Source organism: Homo sapiens, chromosome 12 (assembly GCF_000001405.40).
Source record: "Homo sapiens chromosome 12, GRCh38.p14 Primary Assembly".
Lineage (NCBI taxonomy): Eukaryota > Metazoa > Chordata > Mammalia > Primates > Hominidae > Homo > Homo sapiens.
In genome coordinates this window covers 19,997,143-20,015,380 of record NC_000012.12, presented here as the reverse complement: position 1 = coordinate 20,015,380, position 18,238 = coordinate 19,997,143, and the positions used below count along the sequence as shown (strand labels likewise).

The 18,238-nt window shown below is 35.5% G+C and overlaps 1 long non-coding RNA gene across 1 annotated transcript in view; it reads right to left on the bottom strand.

The window, feature by feature from the left end:
* Positions 1-696, bottom strand: part of LINC02398 (long intergenic non-protein coding RNA 2398) — an 84,184-nt gene extending 83,488 nt beyond the window's left edge. The window contains exon 1 of the long non-coding RNA NR_040098.1: positions 353-696. This is a non-coding gene — a long non-coding RNA (long intergenic non-protein coding RNA 2398). The remainder of the gene's footprint in view (positions 1-352) is intronic.
* Between the last annotated feature and the right edge of the window lie 17,542 nt (positions 697-18,238).

The following is an 18,238-nucleotide window of genomic DNA, read 5'->3' as shown; positions in this document are numbered from 1 at the left end:
AGAGAATACAAGGTTATCTTAGAGTTATCAAATACAGAAAGTATATTTAGGCCCTAACAAAAAAAATGAAACACTTTTAAAGCTGATTTGTCCCTCTCTCAGACAACTTCTCTACTTTTCCAGGCTATCTTCTACAAAGCAGTTTTTTTCGTTTCTCCATAATAGCAGCTTTCAAGTGAGTTGAGTTTCCTGTCTCCAACTCTCTCTAACTTATAGGTAGAATATCCATTATTGTCTAATTCAGTCACTGGGGCTCTGAATTTAAATTATCAAGAGACTGAGTCTGATTGTCTCAGCCTGGGTCACATTCCATCTTGGACCAATCAAATGTGGCCAGGGATTGGGGGTTTACCTGATATGCAATGTCACCAGGGCTGACTGTGGCTGGAAGGTCTGAAGAAACTGTTTCCTCTTCTGCCAAGCAAGTCATCTTTTATAGACAGTGAGTGCTGGTCATAAAGCTTGTTGCATTTAGAGAAAATTAATTTCTACAGATTTTATAAATGCCCTGCATACTGAAGATGTTAAATAAATGGTAATCATGATAATACTGATTTGAAGGCATTCTTTCTAATAAGGCGAACATGACATTTAACTACTACTACGTTATAAATATTTTTAATTAGCTGGATATAGAAAAACATTTGAAAGTCAGGCATACATTTAATAATTACATTTTGAAATTTAATTTCTCACAATGGAAACAAAAAGTTCATATTGAAAAAAATCTTTTATAAACTACTATTAGTGTTTTTCATCAGATTTCTATCAGTAGTTATATACAAATGATAAACTCAAGTGTATGTTTAAAACTCACTGTAAAGTCAGCATAAAGAAAAACTATCAGCTTAAAATAAAACATCAGAAGGTTTTAACAATATTTATAATATCTTCCACTTACAGCTGCTGTGACGGCCACATTCATGTACTCACATATATATGCTACAACAATTCTTACATTTAGATATATTTTAAACATTTTACAAACAAGGAATCTAAGATTCAGGAATATTATATTTTGCCCAAATTATACAAGACAAGTATGTATTGGTAGCAGGATTCTCTAATAGTAATCAGGTAATCTTTCAACTTCCCAAAGCCATCTTTGCAAAAATTAGAGGAATCTAACAGTTTCTCAAGGCAATAAACCAACATCTGCTAGAAAATTGGCATTATAAATAGAGGAACCCATAATGACTACAAATGTGAATGCCGCCCCCCCCAAGAATTGGGCAATGCAAAACCTGCACAACAATATATGCCAGCCTGTTAATTTAAATAGTACAGATGTTACTAGTCAATTCTTCTTTTTACATGGAGTACTATTCATTAATGCCCCGGCCCTCCCCTTCTCTCCCGCCATTTACCCCCAACCCTGTTACCTAGATAAATGATTAAATTCTGAAAATGTTTTAACCCATTTGTTCCATTGATATCCCAGTGATCAAAGACTTTAAAAGCATTTTTCAACCACGGTTCCATTAAATCTCTCTATATAATTCAATCAATAAAACATTTTGGGATCCTAGAAAGGCACATCATTTATGGCCCACTATGATCTTCTTTATTTAAAAATATCTTAGTTCTATGGCTAAGAAGGGAAATTTCTTAACAAACCTCAAATGTTCCTCCATTTTGTTGATTCCTAGTTTGAAAAAGCAAAATGTGACATCATTCAAGTGACATGTTTAGAAGACTTAACTACATGCATTAACTATGTTTACCATTGTTGGCTTATTTCTTCTATGCTTACATGGCTAAACTTCTTCCAGAATGAGAGCTTTGCCACCGAATATTCCACTAGATGAAAAATGCTCAAGGAAAATGGAGGAGAGAAAGAATTACAGTTCAAAATCTCCAGGGAGGTATGTATAGTTAGGGAAAGTGCAATTAATATTATTAGAAAAGGTTATATTTGGGAGAGGAGGAAGGGAACTCCTGGTTTTACAGTATAAGCTACAGAAAGTAAAACCTTATGAAACACTGGGTGATGGGGACTGAGGTTGAGGAGGGAAAAGGAGGAAGATAAATATAGTATATATGTGACAACTTGAAAAACACTTGCCCAGACATTTCATGCTGAATTCACGGCACCATTTTACTAAACAGCACCTTATATGACTACATCCTTTCATTTAAGAAATGGGAGGAGAGGTAGAACCAGCAGGATTACTTGACCTTGCCTTTAATCAAAGGAGTCCAAACTTTTGGCTTTTGTGCAATATCAAATGTGTACAAGAGAACATCAAGAGACGTAGAGTAGTGGCCTCAAAATATATCTTTGACTTTTTTCCAGTAGCCATATTCATACTATATTTTAATAACCCTATAAGTACCCATTTTAGATATTGTTTCTATGTTAGTGAGCAACGTAGTAACCTAAATGATGGTACAATAAATTTGTTTACATTTACAAACTTCAGGAAGCAAAGTCTTTTGGAATGGCTTTATGTATACATGTATGTGTACCTATATGTATCTATTAGTCCATTTTCACACTCCTATGAAGAGATATCCAAGACTGGGTAATTTATAAAGAAAAAGAGATTTAATGGACTTACAGTTCCACATGGCTGGAGAGGCCTCACAATCATGGCAGAAGGCAAAGGAGGAGCAAAGGCCCATCTTACATGGTGGCAGGCAAGAGAGCATGTGCAGGGGAACTGCCCTTTATATTATGAAACCATCAGATTTCATGAGACTTATTTACTATCATGAGAGCAGCATGGGAAAAACCCACCCCGATTATTTAATTACCTTCCATTGGGTCCCTCCCATGACACGTGTGGATTATGGGAGCTACGATTCAAGATGAGATTTGGGTGGGAAAACAGCCAACCCATATCAATGCATATCTTCCTTTAACATTTTTAAATGGCTTGCTTATGTACTATAGTTGCATATAGTAATAGATTTGAGATGAGACCTGTAGAGTAAGTGTTTACTAGATGAAGAAGGTGTAGAAGATTTGTAGAGGTACAAATCGCATTCTTGGACAGAAAGCTGTGAGTCACAGTACCAGCTCCATTTGAACATGCAGGTAATGAACTAAAGAAGACTTGAAATAAGCCTCCGTGAGTCTTCAGCAGGAGAGTCTGTACAGAGGAGGACAGTAGCAGTTGTCGGCTTAGCCAAAGCATTTTATTTTCCTGCTGGCGATTTCCACCTACCAGCCTCCATCTTACTTATTAATCATCAAATAAAAATACTTGGGGTTTTAAAAAATAAAATTTGATGTGAATCCACCAGGAGAAAACCTCATGAATATTTCTAAGTAGATCAGAAGTATTTTTTTCTATAGCCTACTAATGTCTCATTAATACTTTTTAGTGGAAAGGGTAATTCAGGGAGTAAATACAAGAGTCATCATACAGCAAAATAACCACTCTATGGATTAAGGAGTTCTGCTACTCTTTGCTACTTCAAAGATCCAAAAATAAATCCCAGCACATATTCTTCTGTCTTAATCACTTTTTAAAATGTTGAATCATGTAATTGAAGATATTTTATGTTAAAGAATTAGCAGGACAATTCACTTCAAACAAATATAAAAATAAAAATAGCAGCTCCTCAGAGAACACACTTCATGATCAAAGTCTCCTTCAACATCTAATAGGCACTAGAAATATTTTAGAAAACAACTAAATCAATCATTATTTCATGACAAATCTTTTAGCTAATGAGTTCATTGTTTGTTAAAATCTTCTATGGTGTCTTCTTCAGTTCTTTTTACCAAACGTTGTATTAAGGCATGAATGTTTCTATTTGACTACAAAAACAAAGATTATATCTTACAATAAAATTATATTTCCTTGAATGATAAAATCCACATTTCTTCCCAATGTTTTGGTAGTCCTCACTGAATCTTATATAACTAGTTCACTTATATTACTTTCTGGGTAGTCTTAAAAGGATTATTTTGCACTTACGGAATCTCATTCACTCTACCTCCATAAAAGCATCTTGGCAAGCCTTCAAAATTCTGTTGGCAGCCTGTCTTGGTAGGTCAATGGGTTCTTTCCCTGTTGTTCACATTTGTGTGTTTGCTTAGATCTTGACCTAGTAGAGAAAGTTTGCTTACTAGAAATGATTAGATAAAGATGTCCTCCTCGAAAATTTCTCCACCACACATTTTCTTTAAAAAGATTCTCTTAATGTAAGAAACTCCACCTTGAAACTTTTTTTTAATGCACAGAAAAAGCTGTTTCACAGTTTTTTATGAAGCGAAAGGGTTTGGATCATAATATCAAAGGACGCAATACTGAGTGCCATAATCCTGAATGTTGAAATCCTAAAAGATCAAAATCTCTAAAATCTAAATCCCTATCATCTAAAATTCTAAACATTTAAAATTTGGAAAATCACCATCGCAGGAAAGTCACATCATGTTAGGCAGAACTATTACCTTGTTATTGTCTTTATAAAGAAGAAAATGGATTTCAGTTGAATCCCCAACTATAGTGACAGATTTGGAATTAGGTGCAATCAAGATTTCCAAGAGTGGATTTCAGGGTGTTACCAATAAAGTTTGTTTTTTTCCATTCAGCTCAATGCATTTGGAGAAAAATTCAAATGAGTAGATTGCCTGCACAACACGGCAAGAATGAAAACGTCAGTTTAAAAATGCCTCATTTACCTGTGTTGGCATTCCTTCCAGCTGATGATATTCCAGGGCTTTTAATAAATTAAAGCTGCATTTGCCTGAGGAAGCCAGCTAAGTTACTGACTAGTTTGAAAATAATTATGTGCATAGTAGGATAAGAAGACACTTATGCAACAGTGCTGCTTTTTGATCACCAGTACTGTTTTTGCCAAATTTGTGTTCTGTATTGCATGCAGAATGGATTTCCACAAAGCCAAAACACAGAAGCATCGCAAGAAAATGGGAAAATTAAATAGGGAATGCGTATATTGAGAAGTGAAGCCAGCTGGACTTCCTGGGTAGAGTGGGGACTTAGAGAACTTTTCTGTCTGGCTAAAGGACTGTAAACGCACCAATCAGTGCTCTGTGTCTAGCTAAAGGATTGTAAACGCACCAATCAGCACTCTGCATCTAACTAAAGGATTGTAAACGCACCAATCAGCACTCTGTAAAAACGCACCAATCAGCACTCTGAGTCTAGCTAAAGGATTGTAAATGCACCAATCAGCACTCTGTAAAAACACACCAATCAGCACTCTGTGTCTAGCCAAAGGACTGTAAACACACCAATCAGCACTCTGTAAAAATGCACCAATCAGCACTCTGTAAAATGGACCAATCAGCACTGTGTAAAATGGACCAGTCAGCGGAATGTGGGCGGGGCCAAATAAGGGAATAAAACCTGGCCACCCGAGCCAGCAGAGGCAACCAGCTTGGGTCCCTTTCCGTGTTGTGGAAGCTTTGTTCTTTTGCTCTTAATAAATCTTGCTGCCGCTCACTCTTTGGGTCCACACTAACCTGAGGAGGTCTAATACTCACTGTGAACGTCCACGGCTTCATTCTTGGAAGTTAGCGAGAGGACAAACCCACCAGAAGGAAGAAACTCCGGACACATCTGAACATCTGAAGGAACAAACTCTGGACACACCATCTTTAAGAGCTGTAACACTCATCGCACAGGTCTGTGGCTTCATTCTTGAAGTCAGCGAGACCAAGAACTCACTGGAAGGAACCAATTCTGTACAAAATATCAATGTATATCAAATCAGAAGAGTTGCAAAAAGAGCAGCACCACACAGAAAATGAATGTAAACATATTATACAAGGAGAACCATGTCCTAAGAGAAAAAAGCAGATATTCATTGTGATGTAAGACTTCAAAATACAGTTAACTGCTAGCTAGGTGAAAGTTGGCCAGCTCCTATGGACTATCTCTATGCAATCTGTCCCTGTAATATACTTTTCATATGTCAAAATTTCTTTTTAGTTTTTTTCTTCTTTTAGTTTTTCCCCACTATTTCAAATTGTCAGCATTTTTTTTTATAATTTACTATGCTATGTATTTCATCTTTGCATCATTTCCAATACTGGAGGTATAAATTGTGTAGACTTTTATAGAGTTCTGATTTATGTACTTTTTTTAGAAATTTGCCTCCATAAAAATGCATTATCACAATCTTGACTGTGTGTAAGCATTGTGCATGTACATAAAAAGATTAAAATTTCCATAATAAATGAAGAGATGTCCTTTTTGTACATCTGCATTTGTAAAAGGTAAAATTTCTCAAGATCTTGGCTCTTTAAGCAACTGGTGTGGTGATAATGTAGTTGTAACCCATAGTGGTTTTTGATCAATCTTGTCAAAAGTCTCAGGTGTTCATCGCAGTATTTCGGATGACTTGCAGTTACAAAGCTGAGTGCACACAATTACCAACCATTGTGATATGCATTTATACATTTCAGTTTTTGACCTATGTGTTTATAAATACGGTTTGTCTGTTCATAAAAGTTATGCCTGTGTGACTGTCATTAGTATACCTGTTTATGCTTACAAAAATACACGTATTATTAGTGTCTATTTCGTTGTGTCAAGTAGACTATTTAAGTGTTCTATTGTGTTTTCATATGTTTCTTATATAAATGTCCTTTGAAAAATGTAAGTAAACAGCTAGCCAATGTAGTGGCACACACCTGTAGTCCCAACTAGTCAGGAGGCTGAGGTGGGAGGGTCGCATGAGCCCAGGAGTTTGAGGCAGCAGTGAGCGATGATCACACCAATGCGCTCCAGCTTAGGCAAAGAGGAAGACCCTGTCTCTAAGGAAAAAAAAAGTTAAGCCAGTCTCTTTTAAGGAATTTTTAAATTATTTTTTCCAGAATTATATTTTCAGCATTTTGATCTTTCAGGATTTGAAAATTTGGAATTATGGCATTCAGGATTGTGTCTTTTGGGATTGTGACCAGCTCCCAAAAATAAATATCACTGACTTAACAATTTTTCCAAGGTTTCTAAGTTTGACCAGCATCATCATTACATTTAAAATCTTCTCACAAACCGTCTTTGACACAAATAACTAAGGTTTGCATATACCTTTGATCCCAATGAAATATAGTGAAATAGAATCTTCTACTGATGAAAGTTAATGGTTTTGCATTCAATTTGTACAGAGTACCCAAAGCCAACATTTCCTTTTCTCTTGTTCCAGATTGAAGTACTTTTTCTTCTTTAGATTTCCCAAAGATTACAGATTTTATTATAATAATCTCATAGGGCATAGTTTTTTAATTTTAAAATTCCTATATAGATATTTATTCTTAAATCAATGTTTTATGGATCATTCTGTGTACAATTATTTTACTAAGAAAATTGGCTAATCTTGATGGTCCTATCAATTCTTCTCTTGCCATTTATTTTCTAATATAATAGCCCTGAAAAAGTAAATGAAATAAAGTAGTTCCACCTGATTAGTCTTGATTTCCCTGATTGCTACAAGAGACTGATTTCCTTCATCTCATTTCTGTGACTATTGTATGTGCTGTACTGTATTATATGGTACACTTGAAATATTTTTTAATTTTTTTTCCAAATTAATACTAATATTTTGGTAGCAAGTAAAAACAAACTTATTACAACAGCATGCATGGTTCTCTGTTAAGCAAATACAAATTTCAGCAAAACATGGTTTTAATCAACCACTGAACGATAAAATATAAACTAGTGATTATTTTCACTCTCCCACCTCGTATGTGATTTTTGTTGTAGTTGTTAAACAGATCTTGGAAATTTTTTCCTAGTTAAAAAAAAAATGTTTTAAATTCATTTTATAGCCTCAGCATCGCTCTCCTCACCCTAATTGCATTAATTTTGTAAAACTAAATTGGAGTTGCGTGATCTAGCCTCTTCTGAAATGCAGTCTTTACAACAGTGAGACACGATAGAAACCATGCAACATAAAACCACAGGATTTTTAAAAAGCCGGCTCTGGGATGACTTATATGTTTCATAAACCAGCTTAAGGCTGAGTTATGAAAATATCATTTTAATACATTCCTTTAAAGATTCTTATGTTTGTCATTTATTCATTCCTTTATGCACTTTTTATTTTTACTTATCCATTTTCACTTATCTAGCAAGCACTTAAAGCGAGGGTTTGGGTTTGGTTTTGGGTTTTGCACAACATTGCAAATAATGCTATTGGAGAAAAATCAAAGAAATAAAAAAATCAGTGACAAGGTTCATAGAAGATCAAGTTTCCAGGGCTGCAGGTTGAAGGAACAGATTGAGCTCAGGCATGGCAGTGGTCTCCTGACACAGTTGTCTAGCACTGGCAGGCTGACCAGACTTGAGCGGTAGGAAACAGATGATGCTCATGAGGAGAGGTTTTTTAAATGTTTTCTACAATTTGAATCAGACCCTTTGCTAGGCATGAGAACATAAAGTTGAGTAAGAGGCAGCCCTTGTGCTAAGGAACTCTCAAATTTTTACTGAAGTCCCAAAGCACGTGTTGTTTCCACACAACTGATTTCTTGTTTCCTCTGAATTATTTCACAGTGATTTGATACCAATTATCCATTTAAAAACACAGGAATAATTTTTCTTTAACAGTCAGAAGTGTTGCATTTTTCTTTTTGATCTCAAACTAGTTCTTGATACTTCTGTTCAACCTCAACAAATTTATTTAATATGTTTTAAGCTTAAAATTATTTTACTTATAACCCTATCATATGTGTATATCAAATTTAACAGTTTATATCAGTCATACATAACAATATGTAACAGCCATGAGGCTGTAAGGGTTAAAATATTTTTTCTGAATTGAGTTACTGTAGTTATTAATAGTATACAATCAAAATAACATATATTATAGACTATTTTTAAACCTAAAAATAAAATTGTATTCGTACACTTATTCAAATAGGTGATCATTTAAAAAAAAAGATTAGCTCATGTATCTGAATGAAAATTTCTTACAGCTAGAATACAACAATTTTATTCCTATTTTCTGAATCTAAGCACTGAAAAACTTATGCACATGGAAGTTGGGAACAGAAGACCTTTTGTGAGAGCAATGTCAAGTCTTTCTGAGTCAGGTGACAAAACTTATACAGATCAATCAGTTAACAGTTTGAGTAGGAGCTCCTTTTATTTATTTACTTACTTTTTGAAAGCAAAGAATTGGAAACTGCCACATCTTACAAAAGGATGTGTCTGTTACTGGGTCGACAGAGTCATCTACATTCTCAACATCAATCCCAGTAAGTGTAATGTTCCTTTGTCCCTGAGTTGGATTTTATACCTGAGGTAAGATGAGAAAGCTTGTACTCCATCACAGAAGAGTCATAAACTTTTATTTATTAATTATAGCAAAGAGTGCACTTGGAAGCTGAGAATCAACATATTGATTGTCTTAAATTCTGTATTAGTATAGTCCTTGGAAAGCCTCTTCAGCCTTTCAGGAGAACAGATATTTGGGTAGGAATTCCACTTCTACAGACATTGTGGTGCTTTGCAGAAGCTCACATAGTTAAAAGATGGGTACTTCCAAGATAATTGAAACTATAAGTTTTGTGATTTGAGGAAATTACATTTCAGAGATAACAATGCACTCTTAAAAATATATACTATATGTGATTCTGTCTCTATCACAAGAAAGTTTGGTATTGACTAGGCTTTTTTAAAGAATGTTTATACTCATATCTTTCTTAACAAGAGGTAATCATGCTGTGCAAAGATTAAATTAATTCATGTCTCCAATTTTCAGAATTTACTAGATATTTCCAAAAGTGTAAAAGTCTAATATTCCAATAATAGTGAAATGAATTCTTAACACTAATATTTTAGGAGTTGAGGAAACAAGATGAGAAGACAAAATACACTATTCAAGAACATGTATTTGGCATGTTTTTAAAAAGCCTGCTGTTCTAAAAAGCTTATTTTTCCCTGATTTAAAAAAAAAAAATCATTTGCTTTTTTGTATTTTGCTGGTTGGTTTGCTTACTTTCTTGTTTTTTCTTTTTGCATGTATATAAATGTATTTATTTGGCTGGTGTCTCATATTTTTAACAAGGACTTTCAAGTCTTTGGAAAATATTTTTCATCCTTTCAGTGAAGCTTTCCACTTTAATACTGAGTTTACAGAGTTCAGTGATATTCAGGAAATATTTATTAACACCTACTCTGTATAAAGTACTACACCCAGTGACATAGGAGATACAAGGGTGAATCATTCAAGGAGTATGGAATCTGTGTAGCAGAGAAATATATACTCAAAAAACCACCAAAAGCCACAAGAGGAACTAAGAATATGCCTAAGGGTATGCAGAGGCTTTCTAGGAATAGGATAACACTATCAGTCTTAGGAAAATCAATGTCAAGAAAATGCACAATACACTGGAACACTACGCATGTGTGGGTTATTTATATCCCACTGCTCAAGCTCATCACCAAGGTCTCATTTTTCACTCACGCAAAAATTCAAAAAATTGCAACCTCCAGAATAAATGGGTTAATAAGACCTTTAATTGCTATGTTATTATCTTTCATTTCCACTCATTTATTTAGCAGAGATTCCTTGAGAGCCTACTATGTACCTAGCATAATACTACCACTACAAAAATAATGTGTGATGTGCTTGACAGAGGACGGTGTGGCTACTGCCCTCAAACTGCTTATAGACTTGGGGAAAATACATTTATACAGTTAATTACAGTACAATATTGTAAGCATTATAAATATAATAAAAATGTATATATTTAAAGCTAAAATGATAGTATTTGTTTCTATTTTATAAAAGTTTTTATTTTTTTAAAAAAACATAACCCTTAGAACAAACCAAAGTAGCAAAAAGAATAGTCAGGTTTGGGATATATTTTGAAGGAAGAGCTGAGAGTACTTGCTAATAAGTCAGATGCCGGATATTAAAAAAGGAGAATAGGTAAGGTAACTCTAAACTTTGGGGTATGAAGAATTGGAAAAATTAAGGTACCATTTAGTGAAATCTGTATCAGTTACCATATTTGCTGAATAACAAATTACCCCAGAACTTAGTGGCTTAAAAGTGATTTATTCATTCACAATTTTGTGGTTGATAATTTCACTTAGGTTCAGCGAGACATCTCCTCTGTTGCTCTCACTTAGACTCACTTATTGGCTATAGTCAGTTGACAGCTTGGACAGGACTGGATGGTATAAGATGGCCTTATTGACATATCTGGTGGTTGGCAGAGTGTGGCTGGATCACCTTGGTCCTCCCCATGTGGTCTTTCCAGCAGGGTAGCTTAGGCTTATTCACAGGGCAGCAGCTTTCTAAGACAGCGAGAGTGGAAGCTGCAGGGCCTCCTGGGGTCTATCTTCAGAAGTTGCACAAGGCCACTTCTGCCACATTTTATTAATCAAAACAAGTCACAAGGCCAGTCTAGATTTAAGGAGTAAGAAAATGGACTCCATCTTATTGTGTTTTTTTAATTTTTTTTTTTTTTTTTTTTTGAGACGGAGTCACACACTGTCGCCTGGGCTAGAGAGAGCGCAGTGGCACGATCTTGGCTCACGGCAACCTTCCCCTCCCAAATTCAAGTGATTCTTCTGCCTCAGCCTCCCAAGTAGCTGGGATTACAGGCACCCGCCATCACGCCCAGCTAATTTTTTGTATTTTTAGCAGAGACGGGGTTTCACTATGTTGGCCAGGCTGGTCTGGAACTCCTGACCTCGTGATCCACCCGCCTCAGCCTCCCAAAGTGCTGGGATTATAGGCGTGAGCCACCACACCCAGCCAATGGACTCCAACTCTTGACGTAAGGAGCTGCAAATAACTTGTGGCCATTTTTATTCTTCCATACATGGGAATGACAGAAAGTGTAGTCTACTTGTTCCAAGAGTTTCGTTTGTAGAAAAAAAAAATGTGCTTTGCTGGAAAATGGTGCATTGGTTAGAGCACACTCTTCCAGGTTCTCTAATTCTGATTCTATGGGGGCTATTTTACAACTTCGTCTCTTATACATAAATGATGACAATGCAAAAAATTGTTCTTGTCTGTGGATATGGAAACAAATTCTGTCCCTTAGAGGATCTATTGACTTTCTTCTCTCACTGCAGAAGAAGCCATTTTTGCCTCTATTTGCACATTTATTAAATGTCTATTAAAAGAAGACCTACAAATGCCCAATAGGTATATGATAAAAAATGCTCAATATTACTAAGCATCATGGAAATGCAAACTAAAACCACAATGAGATATCACCTCACCCCAGAATGGCTATTATCAAAAAAACTAAAGATAGCAAGTGTTGGCGAGGATGTAGGTCAAAGAAAACGCTTGTACACTGTTGGTTGGAATATAAATGAGTACAGCCATTATGAAAAACAGTATGGAGATGCCTCAAAAATTAACATTTAGAACTATTATATGATACAGCAATCCCACTACTGGGTATTTATCCAAAGGAAATGATATCAGTATGTCAAAAAGATATCTGCATTCCCATGTTGATTGCCGCACTATTCACAATAGCCAAGATATGGAATCAACCTACATGTCCATCAATAAATGGAGACCTAAAGAAAATGTGGTACATATACACAATGAAGTACTATTCAGCCATAAGAATGAAATCCTGCGATTTGCAACACTATGGATATTAAGTGTCCTTAATACAGACAAATAGCTCACCATCTCACTCATGTGGAATCTGAAAAAGTTGATCTCATGGAAGTAGAGAGTAGAACAGTAGTTTACCAGAGGCTGAATGACTATGGGGAGAAAGGGGAATAAGGAGATGTTGATCAAAGGATACATAATTACAGTTAGACAGGAGAAATAAATTTAAGAGATCTATTGTTCAGCCAGGTGACTATAGTTAAGGATGATATGTTGTATTCTTGAAAAACGTAAACAGAGCAGTTGTTACATGCTCTCACCACAAAAATGGTATGCTGGATGGATGTGAGGTAATGCAATTGTTAACTATGTGAGGTAACGCAGTTGTTAGATTTAACCATTCCACAATGTATGCATGCTTCAAAACATCATGTTGTACATGTTTAAAAAATACGATGTCATCTGTCAATTTTTAAAAAAATTAGTTTTAAAAGTTAAAAAAATTCCTAATCCCTATATATGTCTCTGTTCATATTATTTTTCCCCTTAACATCTTTTTTTCCTTAACTTTTTTTGCCTTCCTCTTTCCTTTTTCTTTTATTTTTAAATTTATTTTTGATTGTGGTAAAATATACATAAAATTTACCATCTTAATCATTTTTAAGTACATATATAGCTCAGTAGTGTTAAGTACATGGCACACTGTTATGCAACCATCACTACCATCCCTTTCCAGAACTCTTTTCATCCTGCAAAATGGAAACACTGTACTCATTAAACAATAACTCCCCATTCCCCTGTAGGTTACCTATAGCTCCTGGTAACCACCATTCTACTATCTCTCTATGAAGTTCACTACCCTAAGTACCTCACAGAGATGAAATCATACAGTATTTGGCTTTTCGTGAATGGCTTACTTCACTGAGCAAAATGGCCTCAAGATTCATCCACAATGAAGCATATGTCAGAATTGCCTTCTTTTTCAAGGCTGAATAATATTCCATTGTGTGTATATACACCATATTTTGTTTATTCATTCATCAGTGGACACTTCTACGTTTTGACTATTGTGAATAATACTGCTATGAACACAGGTATACAAATATCTCTTAAAGACCCTGCTTTTAATTTTTAATTCTTTTGAGTATATGGCCTGAAGTAGAATTGCTGAATGATACAATAATTCTACTTTAATTTTTTGAGGAATCACTATACTGTTTTTCATAACAGTTGCACCATTTTACATCCCACCAACAGCACACAAGTATTCCAATTGCTCCACATCCTCACCAACACTTCTTATTTTCTGGTTTGTTTGTTTTGATAGTGACCATACTAATGAGTGTGATGTGGTTGGATTCTTCTATGACTGCTTGTAATATCTTCCTGATCCTCCCATAATAATATGTTAAATAAAATGTTTAACATTTGCTCTTTTATAGCTGTAGAAGAGCCATACCTTTGTCTTTTTTGAAAATTCTCTTTTAACAAGCTATAAAGTAGAACAAGTGGTCTGGAGTGGGTTTTCCAAACACGAAATATACTACAGCATGTTTGTTTTCTAATAGATAGGATGCAATAAAGAAGGAAAATTTATGATAGAAGGGGCAAAAGCAGGAACAAAGTTCTTGAAAAAAGAAAGAGGATTAGATCAAGATAGACAGAATTATATATAATTCATTTATTGTAACCGGAAGAAAATTAGAATATTCATGTAAAAATGCAGGTAGATCCCTTGACTTGGTTATAGAAGCATGTGGAAGGTATCTTCTGAATTTCTGTGTTCATTTTTTAATCCTTATGACTTAGCCCAAAACTAGTTCATAGTAGCTACTTAATGAATGTTTCTTGAGTGAATATAGCAGAGATAATCCTAGTCTACAAGAAAGAGCACAGTAATAAAGACCCACCATGTCTAACATATAAATACACTTACCATTCACCTAGTTCCACTGATAGCCTTTATTAACAGATTCTTAAAATGCTTTTAAACTGCCCATGTAAATAATTTTAAAAGCATACTCTGCTGAATTACCCTATTCTACCCCTCTTAGCAATCAAAGGTAAAAAGAATCTTGTAGCAATGTTGATCTGTCTGCAACATGACACCTCTTTGACTGATAGAAAACAGACAAACTAATGAGAGGAAGCTAAATACGGATATTGTTTACTGGGCTCTGATGACTTATTGTTGGCAAGCAAGTGAACTCTATCTAAGAGATAGGGAATAAAGAAAACATTGTGCTTGGTCTTAGATAAATAAAATATGGGGAAATATGATTTAAAACAAAAAAACAAATTTAACTGACTCATAATTACATCTCAGGAGTCCTTATAGAGGAGCTTAGGATATCTCTTTAGACTTTAAATACATAAAAAGCAGCCCTGGGATAAGCACTGTTTGACAGTTGAATGACAATCTCATCGTAGAGGAGAAGATAGCTGTGTGTTCATTAGCATAAACAACACATTCCAGGCTTCCAAACTACGTAACTTCCCACAAGGAGCATCTGACCCAGAAGACCCTAACACTGAGTGAGCCAGTAGGCATCTGAGAATGAAATTAAAACTTATACAGATGCCAAAGAGGTAAAACGACAAAGCTCAGAAATTTCTCCTTCAATTTAGTTCAATTCAACAAATATTATTTGAATACCTTACACTGAAAAAACACTGCAACAGAAAGTAGGTGCAGAAAACTAGAAAATGGATACACTACTGTTTCCCTATTTTTGATATATTCACTCATCCTTAGACTAAAATTTGAATAAAAGACTTTCTTATTATTACTTAAGTATACATTATAGGGAAAAAAAGCAATATGTGAATTTACTAAACATTTAATTTAAACATTACAACTACTTCCAAGTGCCTTCTAATGAATACGACCTAACCTTTGACCACTGACACATCCTTCCATAGCATGCTCAGGATCACCTTTTAATCCTAGATGGTTAAATGTGAATCTCAGTCTGTTCCTAGCCCTCTCCATTTCCAGCAATGCTGCTGCTGCACCATTATATTTTTAAGGTTATGTTGCTGATTTGTGTGTCTTGCATTATCCTGGATCCATTTTCTTCTGGACTTGTTAGTGCCTCTTCTGTGGTCTCTATTTCTGTCTCTCTCTCTATCTCTCTCTCTCTCTTTCCTCTCTCTCTTTTCTATGCAGTCTTGTTGGAGTTGCACATAGTTATGAAGCATGGTAGGCTGGCACCGTGAGTTGTGCTACGCTGTGGATTTTCTCCTGCTTTTCCCTGTCTACTCCTCCAGAGTGCTTTTACACCACCCATCTTACTCTTGTTTTGCTTGGTTCTCTGCTCCTCTACTTCAGGAAATCCCATGGTTTAGCCTGGAAAAGACTGACTTCATGGGAGGGTGCCTCTCCCTAGTAAATAGACCATCCTCTGATTTATTTCTCCTCCTATGCCAAACGAACATACACCCTGTAAAATATCTCCTTTATGGCCAGAACTAGAAGCAGAATTTGAACGAAGAGTCTGGGAGTTTTTACATTTTCCTACAAAGCCCCTGTGGTGACTCACATTGTCAGGCTGATGTATGAGACTGTCAGACTGATTTTAATTTTGATCTCTTATGTTTTTTCCCCACCCTGTCATGTCACACTAATGACTGTTAAATGCTCCAAAAGACTGGCAAATGGGAAAACAAAGACAAGAGCCAGAGGATTGAAAGTTTCCAAATGAGCAAATATTACACATATTTGAGAAAAATTACATTGGGTTAGTTTATAAATGTTTGAGTATTATGAAAATCTCCAGCGTGTCAGGGGCAAGGAGGAGGAGAGATAACCTTTGACCATAAGAATGAGATACTCTGATCATGATATCACTTGCCACTTATTTCAATTTTTAATGATTAACACCTTCCTCACTAGGTTAACTTTACTTAGGAATGACCACAGATGTAGCAATTTGTGAATAAAACTGAGGTTTTAAACATTATATAATACCAAGTTTAAAATCTAAACTGGTAAAACATTGTCAAACTCCTTTTGAAAGAAGTCAGAAAACAATTCTATTATATTCATGCTCATTTTGAAAGCTGTCTTTGCCAACAAAAGAATATTTTTGTTGATTTATATATATTTGGCATGAGAAAAATCTGTAATAACTGATAACATAGTTAACTGCCAATTACTAAGACCTTACCTGTCTCCACTGCATCCCATGAAGTGGTTCAGATGGGTTCTAATAACTGGATGGCCTGGGTCAGGTGTCAACAGTCATCTGCCTTCCTCATATTATGCATTGTCCTCCCTAGTGTCATAAAACAGCCACCTTTCACTGATGCTGTGTGCTGAGTGCTTTTGAAAATCTAGCTCGCTCAATTCTCATAACAGCTTCATCAAGTGGGTACTAGGATCACCTTTCCAAGGAAAATGGAGACTTCCAACAAGATTAAGACATTTGCTCAAAGTCTTATACCTAATGAGTGGTAGAGCCAGAATTTGAAACGAGGCGTGTCTGCTTGCAAATTTAAGAATCCTGTAGTGCTTCCAGATAGAGTATAATAGCAAAACTCCTTAAATGGCTCAAATTTTACAGCTCACAGGAAATTGTTTTAAGTATGCAGGGTGAAAAATTGTGACTTTTATCAAGAATGTAAAATTATTGTGTAAGTTTATCTTGATCATCAGTGAAGCATGAATAGTATGCTTCTCTTAATTTGAAGTTAGGATAATAAAGCATTTTAGAGTGTACAAAGAACTCTTCCATGTGAGCCTAACTTAAGACAACAGATCAAGCAATTGTTATTCACAGTTTACAGAAAAGGAAGTTGAATTTCTGATTGGCAGAGTGGTATAGCCAATGCCACACAATTAGGACCCAGTGGAATAAATAAATCCTGGGCCTGGGTCTTTTGAGTTCCAATTATATGCTCTTTCCACTACATGTTAAGCAGGCCATGTTTATGAGCAATGAGAGGAAGCTCCATGGACTTTGTTCCATGTTTGCTTAAAAAGAAAAAGCACTATAAATCAACCTGAAATATCCACTGAGAGCATTGTTCATTAAGTCTAGCACAATCAATTATACTAACAAGCATTGTAATAAAATCATTCCATTCCATGCTATGTGACACAATGTGACTGCAAAGAGTATGAAACAAGAAAGAGGACGAGAAATTCATAAGTCATTGAAAGACCAAAAACCATTTACAACCAAAGGGTTTAATCAAGGTTTGAATCTCATGCCTAAGCATTCTCAGAAGTCCCCTTTCATATGCCACGCTGTTTGTTACAAATTATCTTCCAGAATAATGTAGATATATGCCCCCAATTTTTTCTATTACATGTCATAAATCAAATGTGCTAAAACTATGTGTACTGTTAAGGTTACAAAAATTCCAATTCTTTCTTTCTTTTTTTTTTTTTTTTTTTGAGACAGAATTTCACTCTTGTCACTCAGGCTGGAGTGCAGTGGCGCAATCTTGGCTCACTGCAACCTCCGCCTCCCAGGTTCAAGCGATTCTCCTGCCTCAGCCTCCTGAGTAGCTGGGATTACAAGCGCCCGCCACCACAACCTGCTAATTTTTGTATTTTTAGTAGAGACAGGATTTTGCCATGTTGGCCAGTCTTGTCTCGAACTCCTGACCTCAGGTGTTCCACACACCTCGGCCTCCCAAAGTGCTGGGATTACAGGCGTGAGCCACCATGCCCAGCCCCAATTCATTTTTTAAATTGGTAAAGTAAGTTGTGTAATTT